The 24,212-nt window shown below is 40.8% G+C and overlaps 1 pseudogene across 1 annotated transcript in view; it reads right to left on the reverse strand.

Moving 5' to 3' along the window:
- Positions 1 to 10,921: 10,921 nt before the first annotated feature.
- LOC283788 (FSHD region gene 1 pseudogene) overlaps positions 10,922 to 24,212 on the reverse strand; it is a 43,294-nt pseudogene continuing 30,003 nt past the window's right edge. The window contains exon 7 of the transcript NR_027436.2: positions 10,922 to 13,562. The product of NR_027436.2 is annotated as an FSHD region gene 1 pseudogene (transcript). The remainder of the gene's footprint in view (positions 13,563 to 24,212) is intronic.

Genomic DNA, 24,212 nt, shown 5'->3' on the forward strand with positions numbered 1-24,212 from the left:
TCCTGGCTGAGGAGTGGTTCCAGCGGAGCGGGCTCTTCCACGTCCTTCAGCTCCCCCAGTGGAGCCGGATCTAGGAAAGGTTGTGCCTTTTGCTGAAACTCTAGGGTCGACAGGAGCTCATCTAATAGGCTGGGAGTGAGTGCAGACCAGCGTCTTGGCTCCTGGAGTGGTTGAGAGGCGCCTGAATGGCTTGCATCTGTGCTTGACGCGGAGGCCTCCGGGGTCACGAGCTTCGGAGGTGGAGGTGCCCAGTCTTTGGTTTCCCACGCAGCCCTGGCGACCTGGGGCTCCAGTCCCACCGCAGACTCTGGTGGGACGTGGGTGGCGCAAGCACATCTTGGCCCTGCGACTCAGCTTGAGGGGGCCCAAGCTGTCCCACTGAGCAAGCGCCCAGCAGGCCGCCGTGCTGTGGGTCCTGGTCCTCCTGGCATTTGTTGGGGTGCGGAGGCCACCGAGGAGTCTGAGGGTGGGACAACCCCACTGCCGGAGGAGCCAGGGCAGCGAACACAAAATCCTCGCATGCCGGGGCAGTTTGGGAGATTCCTTCTGCCTGTGCAGCCTGGCTGGGCTGGCACGGCTGGCTGGGGCAGGGCCTGGCTCGGTCAGGGCCAGGCTGGGCCAGGCCTTGCTGCCTGGCTCACGAAAGCCCCCTGTGGGAGAGCCCCAGGCGCGCAGGCTGTGTGGGGTGTGGGAAGCCCCGTTCCCCACGCCTGGGTGTGGGTGAAGTCTAGTGAGGAGGGAGGAGTGTGACATCCCCCGGGGGTGTTAATTAGTAACCACAGCGGCCTCAAAGAGCTCAAATGAAAGGAAGAAATGCACGTCTCTTAGTTTAAGTCAAGAGCTGGAAATGATTAAGCTTAGTGAAGACGTAAAATTTTCATCACTAGAGAGACGTCAACGCTTGGCTTCAAAACTTCAAAGGATGGGCTGACTCTCTTTGAGGACCACTGCAATTGGTGACTTTAAGTTACAGCCAATGCTTATTGACCACTCTGAAAATCTCAGGGCCCTTAAGAATTATTCAAATCTATTCTTTCTGTGGCCTAGAAATGGAACATCACAGTCTGAGTGACAACACATCTGTTAACAGCATGGTTTACTGAATATTTTAATCCCACTATTGAGACCTACTGCTCAGAAGAAAAAAAAAAAACGATTCCTTTAAAGAGATTGCTGCTTGGCCAGGTGCAGTGGCTCACACCTGTAATCCCTGCACTTTGGGAGGCCAAGGTGGGTGGATCACGAGGCCAGGAATTTGAGATCAGCCTGGCCAATATGGTGAAACCCTGTCTCTACTAAAAATACAAAAAAATTAGCCGGGCATGGTGGCAGTACCTGTAATTTCAGCTACTTGGGAGGCTGAGGCAGAAGAATGGCTTGAACCCTGGAGGCAGAGGTTGCAGTGAGCCGAGATCATGTCACCACCCTACAGCCTGGGCAACAAGAGCAAAACTACGTAAAGGAAAAAAAAGAAAAAAGGAAAAAAGATTGCTGCTTATTGACAATTCACCTAGCTACCCAGAAGCTTAGATGGAGATGTACTTGGAAATTAATGTTATTTTCATGGCTGCTAATACAATATCCATCCTTTAGCCTGTGGATCAAGGAGTGGTTTTGACTTTCAAGTGTTTTTATTAATTAATAATTGCATTTTGTAAAGGTATAGCTGTCATAGATAGTGATTTCTTTGATGAATCTGGATAAAAAACTGAATTGAAAACCTTTTGGAAAGATTCACCATTAATCCTTTCATGATATTTTAACCTCCCGTGAATCACAAATGTCCTTAATAACAACCCTTAAATTCCATTAAGGACATTTGTGATTGATGGGGGGAGGTTGAAATATCAACATTAACAGGAGTTTGGAAGAAGTTGATTCCAGGCCTCATGGATGACTTTGAGGGCTTGGGATGTCAGTGGAGGAAGTCCCTACAGATGTGGTAGAAATCGCAATACAACCAGAATTAGAATTAGGGCCTTAAGATGAGATTAAATTGCTCTGAACTCATGATGAAACTCGAACAAATGGGGAGTTGCTTCTTATGGACGAGCAAAGAAAATATTTTCTTGAGGTGGAATCTACTCCAGGCGGAGATGCTATGAACATTGTTGAAATAACAACAAAGGATTTAGAATATTCCATAAACCTAGTTGATAAAGCAGCAGCAGGGTTTGAGAGGGTTTATTCCAATTTTGAAGGAAGTTCTACTGTGGATAAAATGTTATCAAACAACATCACATGCTACAGGGAAATCTTTTGTGAGAGGAACAAACTTCGTTGTTTTAAGAAATTGACACAGGCATCCAACCTTCAGCAGCCCCCATTCTGATCAGTCAGCAGCCATCAATATAGAGGCAAGACCCTCACCAGCAAAAAGATTATGACTTGGTAAGGCTCAGATATTCATTAGTATCTTTCAGCAATGAGGAATTTTAAGTTAAAGTATGTACATAGATTTTTAGACTTAATGCGGTTACTAATTAATTAACTAATTGATAATTAATTATTAAATACTCATTAGACTACAACATAGTTTAAGCATAACTTTTATAAACACTGGGAGACAAAATGTTTATGTGACTAACTTGATTGTAACATTTGCCTTATTGCGGTTGTCTGGAACCAAACCCACACTATCTCTGAGTATGCTTGTAGGTTTTTGTTTGTTCCTTGTTTTGAGATGGGGTTTCGCTCTGTCGCCCAGGACAGAGTGCAGTGACATGATCATAGCTCACTGCAGCCTCTAACTGCTGGGTCAAGTGATTTTTCTACCACAGCCTCCTGAGTAGCTGGGACAACCGGCATGCAACACTATGCCTGGTTATTTTTATTTATTTATTTATTTATTTATTTTTGAGATGGAGTCTCGCTCTTTCGCCCAGGCCAGAGTGCAGTGGCGTGGTCTTGGCTCACTGCAAGCTCCGCCTCCCGGGTTCATGCCATTCTCCTGCCTCAGCCTCCCGAGTAGATGGGACTACAGGGGTCCACCACAAGGCCCGGCTAATTTTTTTGTATTTTTAGTAGAGATGGGGTTTCACCATGTTAGCCAGGATGGTCTCAATCTCCTGACTTCGTGATCTGCCTGCCTCGGCCTCCCAAAGTGCTGGAATTACAGGTGTTAGCCACCGCGCCCAGCCAGCTATTTTTTTTAATACTTTTTTTTTGCAGAGACGGGGTCTCACTATGTTGCCAAGCTGGTCTTGAACTCCGGGGCTGAAAGCAATCCAGCCACTTCAGCTTCCCAAAGTGAAGCCATTACTGGCTTGAGCCACTGCACCCAGCTTGTCTGTAGTTTTTAAAACAAAAACGGCCGGGCGTGGTGGCTCACGCCTGTAATCCCAGCACTTTGGGAGGCCGAGGCAGGTGGATCACGAGGTCAGGAGTTCGAGAGCAGCCTGGCCAAGATGGTGAACCTGGTCTCTACTAAAATTAAAAAATCTAGCCGGGCGTGGTGGCGGGCACCTCTAGTCCCAGCTACTCGGGAGGCTGAGGCAGGAGAATCATTTGAACCCGGGAGGCAGAGGTTGCAGTGAGCCGAGATCATGCCACTGCACTCCAGCCTGGTCACAGAGCAGGACTCCGTCAAAAAAGAATAATTTAAAAGATTAAAAATTAAGATAGATTTTTACAAATATATATATCTATCATTATAGTGTCATACAGAATGGTTTTACTGCCGTGAAGATTCTCTGTGCTCTGTGTATCCATCTCTTCCTTCTCCTTGGTCCATGGCAGCCACTGATCTTTCTACTGTTCTCATGGTTTCACCATTTCCAGAATGTCATATAATTGGAATCGAACAGTACATAGACTTTTCGGATTGGCTTCTTCTGTTAGTAATATGCTTTTAAGTTTCCTCCATGTATTTTTTTCTGGCTTGATAGATCATCTCTTGCTAGCAGTGAATAATATCCCATTCACATTATACTTTTTTCAAGACTCACAATGTACAGAGTGAAGAGTAAACGTGAATGTGCACTGTAAGCTTTGAGTGATAATGAAGGGTCAAGGTAGGTTTCTGGTTGTCACAGGTGTGCTCCTGTGAGGCAGGAAGCTGTAGTGGGGAGGCTGTGTGCGGGGAAAGGGACATATGGGAAGCCTGTCCTCTCTGCTCCGTTTAGTTGTGAACCTGCACTTCTCTAAAAAATAAAATTAGTTAAAATTGAAAGCCAAAAATTAGAGAAATTAAAACATTACAATGTGTCATATAGTTTTCAAATCACAAGATAGAAAAAAACATAATAACAGAAACTATAGAAAACAAGGATAGAAATAAAACGTCAGTGATACAAGGCAGAAGACAGAAACGTGCAGCCAAACATATTATTTTAATGATTATTTATATTCATTTATACTAATTTATATTGATGTAACATATTAATTTTGACTAAATGGCATTAAAGGAGGTTTGAGTAATTTGTGAGTCACATTCTGGATGAGATGACTCAATAATATTAACTCTTTACTTTGCTGTAAATCATTTAAAAATATGCTCAAATTCCAATAAAAATTCCAAGAAAAATGTTTTTGAACAAGAAAATGTGATTTTAAATTCGTCTGTTGAGCACACACATGAGAGCCAATATTATAAAATTTACTATAAGATATTAAAATTATTACTATTCAAAGTAAACAAATTTGAAATGGCACAAAAATAAACACATTAATGAAAGAGAACTAAAAGCACAGAAATTGAGTGTAATTTTATCTAGTAACAGGGTAACGTTTTAAATTCACAAAACAAGAGCGATTGTTCCATTTATGGTATTAAAATACTGGGTAATGATTTGAGAATATAAAATGATAGAATTGAATCATGGTCCCACACCTTGCATAAAAGTTAATTCCAGTATTAAATGTTAAAAAAGAGAGAGAGAAAAAAAAAAATTAGATGTATGTGTGTTTTACGTCCTTGAGAATGAATGTCTTCTAAAATCAAAATTTCAAACAGAAACCTTATAAAAAGGAATAAACCTAACGTACCTAAAATGTAAATTCTTACACATTTCAACACCAGGTAAATAGCACAAAACAAACTGGGAAAATTTTTACAACAATTATGTTACATGAAAATTAAAATCCTTATGACATGTACAATGTATAAAACAGTATGATTACTGCTATTATTAATAGTATTATGATTACCTGGTCTTCCCACACACCAGTCCTCTTCTGGTGCCCTGTGGTGAAACAGAGCCCTCCCTCTCTGGCCACAGTGAGGGATCCAGCAGGAACCCTGCCTAAACCCACAGAGGGTGTGAGCCAAGCCAGGACATCACATACCCTCCTGCGAAATGACGCAGACACCCACTCAAGACAGAAATGTGGTCCCTCTCTGGGAAAGTCGCATAACAATTATTGCAGAAACTTTTTTCTTTTGTTCCCAGACACATGGAGAAAGCTGGTCTGGAAGACTGATGTCCACATGCTCAGAGAAGCAGTCATTCATAGCACACACACTGCACACACCACACCGCACACACCACACCATGTGCACACGCACACACACCCCACACACAGACACCACACAAACAGCAGACACACCATGTGCACACGCACACACACCCCACAGACACCACACACTGCACACACACCATGTGCACATGCACACACACCCCACAGAAACCAAACAGCACACACACCATGTGCACATGCACACACACCCCCCACACCCACTGCACACACCCCACACACACCACACCCACTGCACACACAGCATGTGCACATGCACACACCCCATACAGACACCACACACTGCATACACCACACCATGTGCACACACACACCAGACACCACACACACTACACACACACACACAGAGCACACACATCACATACATACGCCACACACACTGTGCACACACACACCACACACGCCACACACATACTCCACACACACATTCTACGCACACATCAAACACTACACACACTGCACACACAGCACCATACACACAAAAAACACACACATCACATACACCACACACACTGCACACACACATATCACAAGCACACCATACCACACATAGTACACATACACACCACACACATACACCACAAACACAGCACATACACACACCATACACAACCCACAGTATTCACACGACACCTCCAGTACACACCACACACACATATACGTACCCCATGCACTTACTACACACACAGACCACACACACACACACCATACATATACATCACACACATACATCTGCGCACACCTCACAGAGTACATACAATCCTCACTTTTAGAACTTAATTCAGCTTTTAAGGAACCTGGATAGTATAGTATTTTATTGGCGTTTGAATGAGCTAAGAAAATGCATATAAATACACACGCATAACTATGATTGCAGAAGAAGCACTTTCGAAATCACAACATTAGATTAAACCGTGTAAGTTTTTTATTGTTTTTGAAAAATCAAGTCTTTATCATTTTACTAGGAACTATTTACAGAATAAACTAATGAGATTCTTCCTGAGGTAAAAATACTTTTTGGAAAAACTTCTCCTTGATGAAATTTCACTTAAAACATCACTTCCATCGTGAAGTATTTCTTTAAGATATTTTTGGTCCCTTCCTTTTATGTGGAATCGTCAATTCAAATTTTAAAGGAGACTTTGAGATGTTTTTCATCTATTATTTTAAAAATGTTGAAGGGGTTTTTAATTCTGCCTTCAACAGAGATGGACACACCTCTGATTATGATGTAAAACTGAATAAGTTACTCTGACAGGCTTTCTTTTATGCAGCGCAGCTACCATCATTATTAATAAGGATTGAGTTCTTTTACTCCATGCACAATCTGTATTCCCTGCTTTACAAAGAATAGAAATCTAATTCTCACTATGAAGGCAGATAAAAGTAATCACTTCAACCTACAGATGACTGAATCATTTACCAACGCACTCAGACTTTAAATAGCATTTATCCAATGTGTCTACATTTCTACACACATTCATATGAAGAACATGTAGTTTAAATCATTGCACAATTTATGCTTTTAATGAGTTGTGATGGTCATTAATATTTTTATTACATTTCCCCAAAGGTGGGCTACTTACTGTTATTATTTTCAGTTAGAAATATAGATGTATTTTCTATTTTTGATGACTTTAAACATAATCCTTGGAATATAATATCTGTGTGTAATATCTGTGGAAATCATGAAAATAATATTCAAATAGTATGCATTTTTTCCAGAATGAAAATTTCCTCTACAATAACATTCATCTTTTTTTTCCTGATGGGCATATAAAAGTCAACATTTGTAACATTGCTGGACATTATTTACATTAAACATGTATCAGCTTCAGGTGTTGCAGAAACTGGGCAAGAGGCCACAAGGTACACAATACACACACACGCACAAAACTTGTATTATTATACTTACCTAAGTGTCTAAAGAGGTGGATAAATATATTAGATTACTCTAGAGCAATGATTTTTGTGGGGCCTATTGGAAAATATGACTGTAGTTTGAGTGAGATTCCTCTAAGAGATTCAACTTGGCCACTATTTATTGAGTATTCAATTTTAAAAATACTAACAAAGGCTTATGGGATGAAAATTTCCATCTAGATCTATGGGAAATGTGTTACTAGATGCTGTAGTAAAAAGACTAGTGTGGTAATTGTAAAATATATCTAACATCTAAACCTTTGTTTGTTTGTTTTTTACCTGAAATCCTTATGGGGGTGATTGTGTATATCAATTTGAATCTTCCCATCAACAAGATACATAAATAAATAGCCAGCCTACCTCTATAAGTTAATAATTTAGTTCACCTGCTCTATATTTTGAGGGCAGTTCTTCTCTTCCTTTGACATGCACAAGATTCACCAGGGGATCTTATTAAAATGCAAACTCATAGACCACGCTTTGACTAGCTAAGATAAGGGGTCAGAGCATCGAAATGAGTGTGTAGGTGACTGTGCTAAGATCCTCCTGCTCATTTGGGCACTGGCTCATCATACAAACAAAGCTTAGGACCTCTAGTCCTTGCTGGAAAAGAAACACACATACATAGGATGTGACTGTGCATATGGAATATCTGTTGTGTTCTGGACATTGTGCTAGACAACAGAGATAAGAAGTCAAATAATCTCTTCTCTTTATCTGAAAGGAGCTTCATACACAGTGGCTTCTGGATGTCTCTGAAACCGGGTTCACTTTCAGATTTGATTATTATATTTATGATTTGACATTGGCATTGAACCCCATGAGGTGATAAATTTTTCCAGAACCTGCCAGAACAACTGGCTTTGCTCTCAGCATCAGGAAGCCACTGGCACATAAATAATTCATTTATGTTTGTATTTCACCAGACAGGAACAACTTGAGCTACTTTTCTAGCCACATTCGTTTATAGCTGTTTTTGTTTTTTGTTTGTTTGTTTGTTTTTTTAAGACAGGGTCTCACTCTATCACCTAGGCTGGAATGCAGTGGTGTGATCAGAGCTCACTGCAGCCTCACCTTCCAGGCTCAAGCAATCCTCTCACCTCAGCCTCCTGAGAAGCTGGAACCACAGGCTTATACCACCATACCCAGCTAATTCAATTTTTTTTTTTTTTTTAGAGACAGGGTTTTTCCATGTTTCCTAAACTTGTCTCCCACTCCTGAGCTCGAGCAATCTGCCTGCCCCAACCTCCTAAAGTGTAGAGCTGTGTTTTTAGTCTTTTTTTGAGCTGTTTTACAATCCAGTGTTGAATTGATAAGTTTGGATTCACTCTGATATTTGCAGATTTAACATCCTACTTCACAAGATGTTCATAGCCTTGAACCATTACAGCCGCTGCCTCATCCATCTCTGCTCATATCCTTGATCCAATACAACAGCCACCTCTTCCATCTATGCTCATAGCCTAAACTAATAGAAGCCAGAGGGAAGAAATGGAAGCCAACGTGAGTCCAGAACACACGTTTTATAAGAGCATAAGAAATTTAAAAATAGCAAAGTATAAAATGAAGTTTGTAATAGATGTGCATGGCTAAAATTTATTCTTATATTAACCAATATATTCTATAAATTGGGAGAAAATATTAAACACATGAAAAGTAAGGAACTTTCATCATTAATATATAATTAATATGACAAGAATGTGGTTTATGTTTTTATCTTTACAAGATTAAGGAAAATTTGGTGGAAGGAAGAAGAATGTATAATCATGGGGAGCGTGTATGATACTGGAGGGAGCCTTTTGACAACGGGGAAATGGCATCATGAGATATACTATGGTCATAGCTATGTAGGAACACAACTACCTGTGGTCTCCCCTGTCAAATCCACTGGGCAGTGTTCAATTACCAACATTGAGGTAGAGCTCACTCTCCCAGGTCAGAAGAGAAAATATATACTGCAGTCAGAATCCACTGAGTAGGAAGCTCCTTTCAGATAGAGGCAAGGGATATTTGACTTTTTATCTCTAGTGTCTAGTACAATGTCCAGAACACAACAGACTTTCCATATGCACAGTCACATCCTATGTGTCTGTATTTCTTTTCCAGCAGGGACTGGAAGTCCTAAGTTTTGTTAATATGGTGAGCCAGTGCCCACATGAACAGTAGCATCTTAGCACTGTCACCAGGACATCAATTTAAATGCTCTTATCTTAGTTAGTCAAAGTGTGGTCTGTGAGTTTGCATTTTAATAAGATCCCCGGGTGAATCTTGTGCATGTTACAGAGGAAGCACTGTCCTACATCACATGTGACAGGCTCTCATAGTCACCATCATCACGGGAATCTTGTGCATGTTACAGAGAAGTGCTGTCCTACGTCATATGTAACAGGCTCTCATAGTCACCATCATCACAGGAATCTTGCGCCTGTTACAGGGAAGCACTGTCCTACATCGTATGTGACAGGCTCTCATAGTCACCATCATCAAGGGAATCTTGCACACGTTACAGAGAAGCAGTGTCCTACATCGTATGTGACAGGCTCTCATAGAAACCACCACCCTGGGAATCTGCATTTAGAGCATTTAATTATATGGGCTCTGAAATCAGATGACTTAGGTTTAGACTTCCTTCTACTTCTTACTAAGCAGAGAACTCTGGGGTGAAAACTTTACGACGCTGTTTTATCACGTCCAAATTGGAGGCACGGGGAGATTATAACATTGTGCATAGAATATTGTTTTACATATAAAATAAAATAGTACATAGGAAGCTTCTGCCATGCACTAATTGCACAATAAATATTAGTTAACAGTAACTCATTTAGTCCTAAGAAGAGGTCTATAAATTTTTACACTATAATTTTTTGTGACTACCCAAGTTTCTATAATTAATGTAGATTTAAAATCAAGGAATGTTTTTACGTGTAGTTGGCAACCAATATGACATGCCAAAATTATATGTAAGTATTTTATTTTTCGTGGGGATATAAGAAATTTGCCATCAAAAGAGGGAAAATAATCTATGTTTGCAGACTCCAGAAAGCTGTCACTCACCTGAGTTTGCAATTTCTGTCTGGGGGAAAAGAAGAGAAAGTTGACTGTGAAAATAAGCATTACCATAGAGTCTTCTCTATGACAACATCAAAAATGAAAGCTGAGTCTCGTCTTCCTAACAATCTGCAAAGACAAGTGAAACACAACCTACTGAGCATCAAGTTAAAGAAGGAGTGAATTTGAGTGGCACAGGAGGAAATCATGTCTTTGCCACTAGGGAAATAAATATGACCCCTGTTCCTCTGCCCTCCTCCGAGGCTAAAGATGGGTTAAATATCAGTGCCTGACCTCAGATAATGGAATGAGCAAAAAAGCTATAAAATGCATGCACTACATAATTAAGAGGGTGGGAAGGGATTTTTTAAAAAAGGCAATTCCTAGTTGGGTTCCTTCCTGTTCACGTCATTGGTGAAGAAATTAGTCTTGCCCTAGAATTCTAGGGATGGCTGCAGACACAACAAACACTGAGTAGACGAAATTCACCGTAACTTATTCATCGCGCATACTCAGCCCAACAGGGGATGACACTGCATCTGTGCAGGTCTACCCGGGGGTTCACTCTGGAGCACAGGGTGCGGGAGGCAGGCTTGGTAGAAATCAGAGGGTGGGGTAACCCCTTGTCCCTTGAGGGATGTGCTTGACTAATTCAAAGAGTTTAGCAGTCTGTTGGGGGCATGAAAGCCATTAGGCTGAGGACCTGGTGGGATGCAGCATGAAATTTTAGGTGTCACAGTACAATTGACCCTGATGCTTTAACATCAGACATTTATTTTAATGATGACTAATATTTTGAGAGGCTGAGAGAAGGCTGTTGAGACATTGTAATAAATGCTTAGGGGCATGAGACATTAGGAAGGCCACAATTATGAGTAATGAAATGTGGAGGCTGATGAGAAGCTACTGCTCCCATTTGTTTAGCAGGAGGCAGGAAAAGTGATCTGGGGTCTCTGGCAGCACAAGCGTGTGGTAAATATTTGGGTGACGTCATGCATCCCCCATGCATGGGTTTTCATGTCTCCAGTGAGCTGTTGGGCAAGTCTGATATTACTGATCCACACGCAGCAGGCAGCTTCCTGTATGGAGCTACCTCCACCCCTTGGACAGTTCAGGACTGAAAGATTGTCAAAAATGTGAACTCCTTGATGTCCAGTAAAGGCAACTGAGGGAACTGTCTAGCATTGGTGTAAAAAGTGCACTTTCCTAAGGAGCATGAACTTAGAGTTATCAAAGCCTGTGGCAATAGTGGAATCCAGCAGGGCATCCACTCGCTGCTTTGTACCTTAAATAGGAATTCTTTGAGGAGCTCAGTGTATCTCTCAACTGAAGCAGCTTCCTGCAGCCTACAGGAGCAGTGGAAGCTCTGCTGGACACCTTCTTCACAAGCCCAGCACTGTGTTTTCTGATGAAATGTTGCTTTGGTGACCATCAGTAGTGTCTGGAACTCTGCAAGGGATAAGGAGTGTCCCTGTGAGATCTGTACCGTGTCCTTAGTTAAAATAAAGGCATCTGTTACCTTGATTGGTATTCTGAGTATCCATGAGACAAGAAGTGTATTTAATTCAATGGGGAGGGAAGCTGGACAATTCTTGGCAATTGTCAAAAAGTTTGTAAAAAGGTACAAGTGGGGTTAATTGTTGGCCCAGCATCAGTGCTATGATGACCACCTCAAGTTTGGCCAGTTGTGCTGAGGCTTGTGTGTCATCCTTTATCAGGGACATCCTAGCTAAGGGAGGGAAAGCAGCAGAATCCCACTGAGCTCCATCACATCTGATCATGGCATCCATTCAGAAGGCTGACAAACTTCACTGCTGGTCACTCAGTCGATCCCAAGGGCCTCGCAGAGGGGTGACATCTGGCACCACAGTCTGAGGATGAAGGAGGCCAGTGTCAGCACTGTAGCCTAAGGATGAAGGAGGCCAGTGCTTCCTGCAGATGAGAATTGCATCGTGTAAAGATTTGACTCCATTCGGAGGCAAGGAGGTCACTGCAGCTGTGCCAAAGCTGTGGGGTGCTGCTTCCCAAGGCCTGATGGCCAGATGGGCATGAAGGCTCATGGACATGGATGCAGAGCCCTCTGTTTCAAGGGTCCAGTATGTGGCCAGCAATCACTGCCCTGATGCTGTACAGCACAGGGTCAAAAGAGGCAGGTTTGTTTTTTACATCAGAAGCCCATGGATGACTAATGGCCACCACATGCAAACCAGATACTTCGGAGGCATGGGAAGAGGTTGCTAAAGCATCTACAGTGTGTTCTCTGATGGAATTCATAGGAGCGCCTGTTAATTTAAATTCGGATGGATTCCAGACTTGTTGGAGGAGGCTTCATTCAAGGTGGGTCAGCTTTCAAGTGACAGCATCAGCGAGATTAAGTAAAATTTGTAAGTAAGAAATGTGTAGTCACCTGAACCCCAAGTAAAGAATTAAAGGGCTGGGCACATGGACTCACACCTGTAATCCCAGAACTTTGGGAGGCCGAGGCCAGAGGATCTCTTGAGCCCAGGAGTTCGAGACCAGCCCGGGTAACATAGCGAGAGCTTTTCTCTACAAAAAAATAAACAAAATTAGCTGAGTGTCATGGCACACACCTGTAGTCCTAGCTACTTGGAAAGCTGAAATGGGAGAATTGCTTGAGGTTGGGAGGTCAAGGCTGCAGTGAGCTGAGATCATGCCACTTCATACCAGCCTGTGTGACAGAGCAAGACTATGTCTCCAAAAAACAAAACACAAATTAAAGAATGTTGGGCTTGTATTAACGTTGTGGATGCTGAGAGGATGAATAACTATTTCTTGAAACTGTCAGGAATAGAGCAGCCCCAAGTTTACCAAGGAATTTTCAGGAATTGAAGCAAAGTGGCAGGGCCTTGCACTACTGTGTTGGGGAAAGGTCCATTCCCTTTGTATAAGGCTCTTTGTGTCTGTGTATCTTCAGTGTGTAAAATGAATTTTCTCTGAGAATGATGTCATCAGTATAATGTCACACCTGTACTCCTGTAGAAAGGTGGCTGCAGTGAGATATTGTCTGTGAAGATTGCATGCAATGACGAGGCTGCCAAGGCACTCCGTGTGTTACCTGGTCCCTTCAGAGATGAAGGCAGGCTATGACTGCGACTCTGTTAAAATAGGCCCAAAAAGATCATGTTAGCTAAATATATAACAACAAAATATTTCCAGTTGCATGAATATATATAGGTTTATTATAAGGAATTGGCTCATGTAGTTATGGAGGCTCACAAGTCCCATGACCTGCAGTCAGCAAGCTGGAGACCCAGGACTGCCAATGGTGGAGTTCCAGTCCAAGCCTAAAGTCCTGAGAACCAGGAAAGCTGATGGCATAAGTTACAGTCCACGTCTGACTTCAAAGGCGAGAGAAGATCTATGTCTCAGCTCTGAAAGCATCAAAGAGAGTGAATTCTCTCTTCCTCTACCCTTGTGTTTTATTTGGGATTTAATGGATTGGATGAGGCCCGCTCACACTGGGAAGGGCAACTACTTTACTAATTCTACATATTCAAATGTTCATCTCATCAAGGAACACCCTCACAGACACATCCAGAGTGTTTAACCAAATATCTAGGCAACCCAACTTGGCAAATAAAATTAACCATCATAAGGTGAAAGATGTATACGATCTGAAGAGAAACCAGGGATGCAGGACGGTTAAACATCTGCAAGTCAATAAATGTGATAGGCCATATAAACAGAATTAAAAACAAAAATCATGTGATCATCTCAATACATGCAGAAAAAGGATTTGACAAAATCCAGCATCCCTTTATGATTAAAACCCTCAGCAAAATCAACATCGAAGGGACAAACCTTAAGGTAATAAAAGCTATATATGACAAACACAGCCAACATTACACTGAATGGGGAAAAGTTGAAAGCATTCCCCCTGAGAATTGGAACAAGACAATGATGCCCACTTTCACCACTTCTATTCAACACAGTACTAGAAGTCCTCGCCAGAGTAATCAGATAAGAGAAATAAAGGGCATCCAAATCGGTAAAGAGGAAGTTGAACTGTCACTCTTTGCTGATGACATGATCGTAAACCTAGAAAGCCCTAAAGACTCATCCCAAAAGCTACCAGAACTGGTAAATGAATTCAGCAAAGTTTCAGGATACAAAATTAAGGTACACAAGTCAGTGGCTCTGCTATACTGTAACAGTGAACAAGCTGAGAATCAAATAAAAAACTCACCACCTTTTACAATAGCTGCAATAAAAACCTGAGGAATATTATGATTCCTATAATTATAATAGTATATTCCTATAATTGTCAATTGCATGCAATCTTTGCAGACAAAATCTTAATTATATCCGGAATACTTAACCAAAGAGACAAAAGACCTCTACAAGGAAAACTACAAAACACTGCTGAGAGAAATCATAGATACAAACAAATGGAAACATATCCCATGCTCACGGATGGGTAAAATCAATATTGTGAAAATACCATACTGCCAAAAGCTATCTACAAACTCAATGCAATCCCCATTAAAGTACTAACATCAGTCTTCACAGAACTACAAAAATTCACATGGAACTAAAAAAGACATAGAAGGGACATACCTTAAGGTAATAAAAGCCTAGAACCAAAAAAGAATCTGTATAGCCAAAACAAGACTAAGCAAAAAGAACAAATCTAGAAGCCGACTTCAAACTATATTAGAAGGCCATAGTCCCCAAAACAGCATGGTACTGGTATAAAAATAGCCATATAGACCAATGGGACATAATAGAGAACCCAGAAATAAAGCCAAATACTTACAGTCATCTAATCTTCAACAAAGCAAACAAAAACATAAAGCAGAGAAAGAATACCCTATTCAACAAATGGTGCTGGGATAAATGGCAAGCCGCACATAGAATAATGAAAGTGGATGTTCATTTCTCACCCTTTTAAAAATCAACTCAAGATGGATCAAGGACTTAAATCTAATACCTGAAACTATAAAAATTCTAGAAGACGCCATTGGAAAAACCCTTCTAGACATTGGCTTAGGCAAAGACTTCATGACCAATAACCCAAAAAGCAAATGCAACTAAAACAAAGATAAATAGATGAGACTTAATTAAACTAAAAGGTTTCTGCACAGCAAAAGAAATAATCAGCAGAGTAAACAGACAACCTAAAGAGTGGGAGAAAATCTTTGCAAACTGTACTTCTGATTAAAGGACTAATAGCCAGAATCTGCAAGGAACTCAAATAAACCATCAAGAAAAAAAAATCCCATCAAAAAGTGGGCTAAGGACATGAACAGACAATTCTCAAAAGAAGATATACAACTGGCCAACAAACACATGAAAAAATGCTCAACATAACTAATTATCAGGGAAATGCAAATCAAAACCACAATACAATATGATAACCCCTTCACTCCTGCAAGAATGGTCATAATCAAAAAATCAAAAACTAATAGATGTTGGCATGGTTGTGGTAAAAAGGGAACACTTTTACACTTTTTGGAGGGAATGCAAGCTAGTACAACAGCTATGGAAAAGAGTGAGGAGATTTCCAAAGAACTAAAAGCAGATCTATCATTTGATCCAGTAATTCCACTCCTGGGTATCTACTCAGAGGAAAATAAGTCATTATATGAAAAAGATACTTGCACACGCATGTTTATAGCAGCACAATATGCAATTGCAAGAATTTGAAACCAGCCTAAATGCCCATCAATCAGTAAGTGGATAAAGAAAGTGTGTTATAAATATTTACCATGGAATACTACTCAGCCATAAGATGGAATGAAGTAATGCATTCACAGCAACCTGGATGAAACTGGACACCATTATTCTAAGTGAAGTAACTTTGGAATGGAAAACCAAACCTTGTATGTTCTCATTCATAAATGGGAGCTAAGCTATAAGGATGCAAAGGCATAAGAATGATACAATGGTCTTCGGGGACTCAGGGAAAGGCTGGGAGTGGTGAGGTGGGTGCGGTGAGGGATAAAACACTACATATTGGGTATAGTGTACTCTGCTCGGGTGATGGGTGCACCACAAATCTCAGAAATCGCCACTAAAGAACTTATTCATGTAACCAAACACCACCTGTTCCCCCAAAACCTATTGAAATAAAAAAAAACATCATATTCCTCAAAAACCTATTGAAATAAAAAATAAATTAACCACAATAATATTTGGCATTGGGTACGAGGGCCCTAATGGATGGGAGCACTGCAGTCACATTACAGCAATCCACTGTGAAACACCATTTATTCTTTGCAGGTTTAAGAACAGGCCAAATTCTACTGCTAAATGTTGAAGCAATGAGGATAATCACCCCTTCACTAATTAATTAGGTCTTATATAATAAGTTTTATTTATTTGAAATCATGTGTAATTTCTGTTGGACCATATTTGCTAATTTATCAAGATGGGGAGGCTAGGCACCATGGCTCACACCTGTAATCCCAGCACTTTGGGAGGCCGAGACAGGAGGATTGCTTGGGGCCAGAAGTTAGAGACCAGCCTAGGCAACGTAGCAAGACTGCACTTCTATAATTTTTTTTTTAATTGGCTGTGTTGGTGCATGCCTGTAATCCCAGCTACTTGGAAGGCTAAAATGGGAGGATTGCTTAAGCCCAGGAGTTCGAGGCAGCAGTGAGCTATGATTGTGCCACCGCACTTCATACAGCCTGGGTAATGGAGCAAGAACCCATCTCTAAAAAAATGAAAAATTAAAAATAAATCAAATTTAAAAAAAAACAGGAGAGGGAGTTCTGTAAGGTTACATTTGTGAAGTCAATGTGTAAGTGCAAATGGTTTAATTTCAATTTGTTACTCATTAGGTCAGAGCATCCATGTCCCCTATGGACAAACTCTTCTATGACTACAGGAAATTTACTCAAGGGAACAAATATGAGGCATATCTATGTGTCCTCTATTCTATATGCAGTTACTCTGCTAGGATTAGGGGATGCAAAGTTTAAATTTAGTGAAATCTCAGGTATAACAAAGTTTGAGCTCCAGTATTGATTAAGTTTGTGAAGGTATACCAATTGGTAGATTTCAGCAGATGTTAAAATTGATTCAGAATATATGCTGGAGAGTTACAAATACCAGTCAGCACCCTTTTATCTTTGGACTGTATAAATTGTTTTAGAAGATAGTACATTTCCAGTTAGGTCAGATGATAGACTTCCGTTTTAATTTAAATTTTGTTTTTGTGCATATCCATGTTCCTTCCCTTCCTTTCTTCCTTCCTTCCTTCCCTCCTTCCTTCTCTCCTTCCTTCCTTCCCTCTTTCCTTCCTTCCCTCTCCTTCCTTCCCTCTCTCTTTCCTTCCCTCTCTCCTTCCTTCCCTCTCACCTTCCTTCCTTCCCTCCCTCCCTCCTTCCCTTTCCTTACTTCCTCCTTTCCTTCATTCCTTCCTGCCCTCCTTCCCTCCTTCCTTCATTCCTCCCTTCCATCTCTCCTTCCTTCCTTCCATCCCTACCTCCCTCCCTACTTCCTTCCTTCCCTCTCTCCTTCCTTCCCTCCTTCCGTCCTTCCTTCCTTCCCTCTCCCTCATTTTTTTGCCACTGGATATGGGGAAGGTTGTTCTCTTTCCCACTCATACTTATAATTTTTTTATTTGAAACAGCCCCAAATCAGTATCTTCAGAGTTAAGGTCCTCCTTGTGAGCAGATTGTGTGGTTTAAGAACCCTAGACTTAAGTCAGGTTTGGATTTATCCCTTCTCTGTGCCTCAGGGGTACCGCAGGTGTCTTTTCCTATAACCCTGGGAATTAGATCTTTGTTGTGGCAGAACCATAAGTCGCAGAGCGATGCAGCACAACCAGCCCACAATTCAGGGGTCAGTGGATTGAAATCGTCTTCTGCTACGGCTCCATCTGGTTCTTCCAGGACTTCCCTCCCTCCTTTTTTTTTCCTTTTAGGGTGTTGAAACTTTAGTGGCATCTACATTGCCTCATAATCAGTCAAAACTCCCCTTATCCCACATCATGGATTAAAGAGAACATTGCCAGGAGCCCTTCACTCTTCTAGAAGGACTTTATTTGATAGGTCCTTTTTCCATGGTTTAGAATAAAAGAGGTAATAACTAGAAATGTCCCCCTCATAATAGGCTCTACAGCAAATTCTACTTTAAAGGTTGTTGTTCGTGTCTTCAACTGTGGCTGCCTTTAATGATTTTGTCATCCACAGACAGTTGTCTCATTTTGGTCCTCTTTAAATGATGGTTTTATAATCAGCTATAAAATTTAACAGATGCCCTTAAATGCAGGATTCTGATTAATAACGCTGGAGATTGTGACAATAGAATAGAAGGAAAACTTTCAAATAGAAGAGTGAATGGTGTTTTGTCTACTTTGGACCATATTTTTATAAATATATTATTAGTATGTATTCCAAAATTATTGGAAACTTATATAGAAATGTAATCCCCAGTGTTGGAAATGGGTCCTGCTGGGAGGTGGCTGGTCCATGGGAGCAGTTTCCAGTCGTTCCCAGTGTTGGAGACGGGGCCTGCTGGAAGGTGGCTGGTCCATGGGAGCAGCTTCCAGTGGTTCCCACTGTAGGAGATGGGGCCTGCTGGGAGGTGGTTTGTCCATGTAAGCAGTTTCTAATGGTTAAGCATCATCCCCCTAGCGCTGCTCTTGTGATGGAGTTCTCATGAGATCTTGTTGCTAAAGTGTGTAGGACCTTCCCCCTCTCTCTTTTCCTCCTGCTCTTGCTTTACCTTCCACCATGATTGTTAAGTTTCCTGAGGCCTCCCCAGAAGCTGAGCAGATGTCAGCATCATGCTTGCTGTACAGGCTGTGGAAGTGTGAGCCAATTTTCAGTACTCTTCTGTTTTCCTTTTATTTTATTTTTTTAAATTTTATTTTAAGTTCCAGGATACATGTGCAGGACATGCAGGTTTGTTACATGGGTAAACGTGCACTATGATGATTTGCTGTACTTATCAACCCATCGCCTAGGTATTAAGCCCCACACGCTTTAGCTATTTATCCTGATGCTCTCCCTCCCTGTCCCCAACGACAGGCCCCAGTGTGTGTTGTTCCCCTCCCTGTGTCCAGGTGTTCTCATTATTCAGCTCCCACTTATGAGTGAGAATATACGGTATTTGGTCTTCTGTTCCTGTATTAGTTTGCATGGCTTCCAGATTCATTCATGTCCCTGTAAAAGACATGATCTCATTCCTTTTTATTGCTGCATAGTATTCCATGGTGTGTATGTACCACATTTTCTTTATCCAGTCTATCATTGACGGGCATTTGGATTGAGTCCATGTTTTTGCTATTATGAATAGTGCTGCTATAAACATACGCATGCATATATCTTTATAATAGAATGATTTATAGTCCTTTGGATACATACCCAGTAATGGGATTTCTGGGTCAAATGGTAGTTCTGGTTCTAGATCCCTGCAGAATCGCCAAACTGTCTTCCACAATGATGGAACTAATTCATATTCCTGCCAACAGTGTAAAAGTGTTTATTTCTCCACAGCTTTGCCAGCATCTGTTGTTTCTTGACTTTTTTTTATTATACTTTAAGTTTGAGGGTACATGTGCACAACGTGCAGGTTTGTTACATATGTATACATGTGCAATGTTGGTGTGCTGCACCCATTAACTCGTCATTTAGCATTAGGTATATCTCCTAATGCTATCCCTCTCACGTCCCCCCACCCGACAACAGTCCCCAGTGTGTGATGTTCCCCTTCCTGTGTCCAAGTGTTCTCATTGTTCAATTCCCACCTCTGAGGGAGAACATGCGGTGTTTGGTTTTTTATCCTTGTGATAGTTTGCTGAGAATGATGGTTTCCAGCTTCATCCATGTCCCTACAAAGGACATGAACTCTTCATTTTTTATGGCTGCATAGTATTCCACGATGTATATGTGCCACATTTTCTTAATCCAGTCTATCATTCTTGGATATTTGGGTTGGTTCCAAGTCTTCACTATTGTAAATAGCGCTGCAATAAACATACATGTGCTTGTGTCTTTATCGCAGCATGATTTATAATCCTTTGGGTATATACCCAGTAATGGGATGGCTCGGTCAGATGGTATTTCTAGTTCTAGATCCCTGAGGAATCACCACACAGACTTCCACAATGGTTGAACTAGTTTTCAGTCCCACCAAGAGTGTAAAATGTTCCTATTTCTCCACATCCTCTCCAGCACCTGTTGTTTCCTGACTTTTTAATGATCACCATTCTAACTGGTGTGAGATGGTATCTCATTGTGGTTTTCATTTGCATTTCTCTGATGGCCGGTGATGATGAGCATTTTCTCATGTGTTTTTTGGCTTCATAAATGTTTTCTTTTGAGAAGTGTCTGTTCATATCCTTTGCCCACTTTTTGATGGGGTTGTTTGTTTTTTCTTGTAAATTTGTTTGAGTTCATTGTAGATTCTGGATATTAGCCCTTTGTCAGATGAGTAGGTTGTGAAAATTTTCTCCCATTTTGTAGGTTGCCTGTTCACTCTGATGGTAGTTTCTTTTGCTGTGCAGAAGCTCTTTAGTTTAATTAGATCCCATTTGTCAATTTTGGCTTTTGTTGCCATTGCTTTTGGTGTTTTAGACATGAAGTCGTTTCCCATGCCTATGTCCTGAATGGTAATGCCTAGGTTTTCTTCTAGGTTTTTTATGGTATTAGGTGAAACATTTAAGTCTTTAATCCGTCTTGAATTAATTTTTGTATAAGGTGTAAGGAAGGGATCCAGCTTCAACTTTCTACATATGGCTAGCCAGTTTTCCCAGCACCATTTATTAAATAGGGAATCCTTTTCCCATTGCTTGTTTTTCTCAGGTTTGTCAAAGATCAGATAGTTGTAGATATGCGGCATTATTTCTGAGGGCTCTGTTCTGTTCCATTGGTCTATATCTCTGTTTTGGTACCAGAACCATGCTGTTTTGGTTACTGTAGCCTTGTAGTATAGTTTGAAGTGAGGTAGCGTGATGCCTCCAGCTTTGTTCTTTTGGCTTAGTATTGACTTGCCTATGCGGGCTCTTTTTTGGTTCCATATGAACCTTAAAGTAGTTTTTCCAATTCTGTGAGGAAAGTCATTGGTAGCTTGATGGGGATGGCATTGAATCAATAAATTACATTGGGCAGTATGGGCATTTTCATGATATTGATTCTTCCTACCCATGAGCATGGAATGTTCTTCCATTTGTTTGGTTCCTCTTTTATTTCATTGAGCAGTTGTTTGTAGTTCTCCTTGAAGAAGTCCTTCACGTCTCTTTTAAGTTGGATTCCTAGGTATTCTATTCTCTTTGAAGCAATTGTGAATGGGAGTTCACTCATTATTTGGCTCTCTGTTTGTCTATAATTTGTGTATAAGAATGGTTGTGATTTTTGTACATTCACTTTGTATCCTGAGACTTTGCTGAAGTTGCTTATCAGCTTAAGGAGATTTTGGCTGAGACAATGGGGTATTCTAGATATACAATCATGTCATCTGCAAACAGGGACAATTTAACTTCCTCTTTTCCTAATTGAATACACTTTATTTCCTTCTCCTGCCTAATTTCCCTGGCCAGAACTTCCAATACTATGTTGAATAGGAGTGGTGAGAGAGGGCATCCCTGTCTTGTGCCAGTTTTCAAAGGAAATGCTTCCAGTTTTTGCCCATTCAGTATGATATTGGCTGTGGTTTTGTCATAGATAGCTATTATTTTGAGATATGTCCCATCAAAACCTAATTTATTGAGAGTTTTTAGCATGAAGGGTTGTTGAATTTTGTCAAAGGCCTTTTCTGCATCTATGGAGATAATCATGTGGTTTTTGTCTTTGGTTCTGTTTATATGCTGGATTACATTTATTGATTTGTGTATATTGAACCAGCCTTGCATCCCAGGGATGAAGCCCACTTGATCATGGTGGATAAGCTTTTTGATGTGCTGCTGGATTCGGTTTGCCAGTATTTTATTGAATATTTTTGCACTAATGTTCATCAAGTATATTGGTCTAAAATTGTCTTTTTTTGTTGTGTCTCTGCCAGGCTTTGGTATCAAGATGATTCTGGCCTCATAAAATGAGTTAGGGAGGAGTCCCTCTTTTTCTATTGATTGGAATAGTTTCAGAATGAATGGTACCAGTTCCTCCTTGTAACTCTGCTAGAATTTGGCTGTGAATCCATCTGGTGCTGGACTCTTTTTGGTTGGTAAGCTATTGATTGTTGCCACAATTTCAGCTCCTGTTATTGGTCTATTCAGAGATTCAACTTCTTCCTGGTTTAGTCTTGGGAGGGTGTATGTGTCGAGGAATTTATCCATTTCTTCTAGGTTTTCTAGTTTATTTGCATAGAGGTGTTTGTAGTATTCTCTGATGGTAGTTTGTATTTCTATTGGATTGGTGGTGATATCCCCTTTATCATTTTTTATTGCGTCTATTTGATTCTTCTCTCTTTTCTTCTTTATTAGTCTTGCTAGCAGTGTATCCATTTTGTTGATCCTTTCAGAAAACCATCTCCTGGATTCATTAATTTTTTGAAGGGTTTTTTATGTCTCTATTTCCTTCAGTTCTGCTCTGATTTTAGTTATTTCTCACCTTCTGCTAGCTTTTGAATGTGTTTGCGCTTGCTTTTCTAGTTCTTTTAATTGTGATGTTAAGGTGTCAATTTTGGACCTTTCCTGCTTTCTCTTGTGGGCATTTAGTGCTATAAATTTCCCTCTACAAACTGCTTTGAATGTGTCCCAGAGATACTGGTATGTTGTGTCTTTGTTCTCGTTGGTTTCAAAGAACATCTTTATTTCTGCCTTCATTTTGTTATGTACCCAGTAGTCATTCAGGAGCACGTTGTTCTGTTTCCATGTAGTTGAGCAGTTTTGAGTTAGATTCTTAATCCTGAGTTCTAGTTTGATTACACTGTGGTCTGAGAGACAGTTTGTTATAATTTCTGTTCTTTTACATTTGCTGAGGAGAGCTTTACTTCCAACGATGTGGTCAATTTTGGAATAGGTGTGGTGTGGTGCTGAAAAAAATGTATATTCTGTTGATTTGGGGTAGAGAGTTTTGTAGATGCCTATTAGGTCCACTTGGTTCAGAGCTGAGTTCAATTCCTGGGTATCCTTGTTAACTTTCTGTCTCGCTGATTTGTCTAATGTTGACAGTGTGGTGTTAAAGTCTCCCCTTATTGTTGTGTGGGTATCTAAGTCTCTTTGTAGGTCACTCAGGACTTGCTGTATGAATCTGGGTGCTCCTGTATTAGGTCCATATATATTTAGGATACTTAGCTCTTCTTGTTGAATTGATCTCTTTAACATTATGTAATGGCCGTCTTTGTGTCTTTTGATCTTTCTTGGTTTAAAGTCTTTTTTATCAGAGACTAAGATTGCAACCCCTGACTTTTTTTGTTTTCCATTTGCTTGGTAGATCTTCCTTCATCCTTTTATTTTGAGCCTATGTGTGTCTCTGCACTTGAGATAGGTTTCCTTAATACAGCACACTGATGGGTCTTGACTCTTTATCTAATTTGCCATTCTGTGTCTTTTAATTGGAGCATTTAGTCTATTTATATTCAAAGTTAATATAGTTATGTGTGAATCTGATCCTGTCATTATGATGTTAACTGATTATTTGCTCGTTAGTTGCTGCAGTTTCTTCCTAGCCTTGACGGTCTTTACAATTAGGGTGGGAGTGACCCGATTTTCCAGGTGCTGTCTGTTACCCCTTTCTTTGACTAGGAAAGGGAATTCCCTGACCCCTTGCACTTCCCGGGTGAGATGATGCCTCTCCCTGCTTCGGCTCATGCACGGTGCACTGCACCCACTGTCCTGCACCCACTTTCCAGCT

The sequence above is a fragment of the Homo sapiens genome, unplaced genomic scaffold (assembly GCF_000001405.40).
Source record: "Homo sapiens unplaced genomic scaffold, GRCh38.p14 Primary Assembly HSCHRUN_RANDOM_CTG10".
Lineage (NCBI taxonomy): Eukaryota > Metazoa > Chordata > Mammalia > Primates > Hominidae > Homo > Homo sapiens.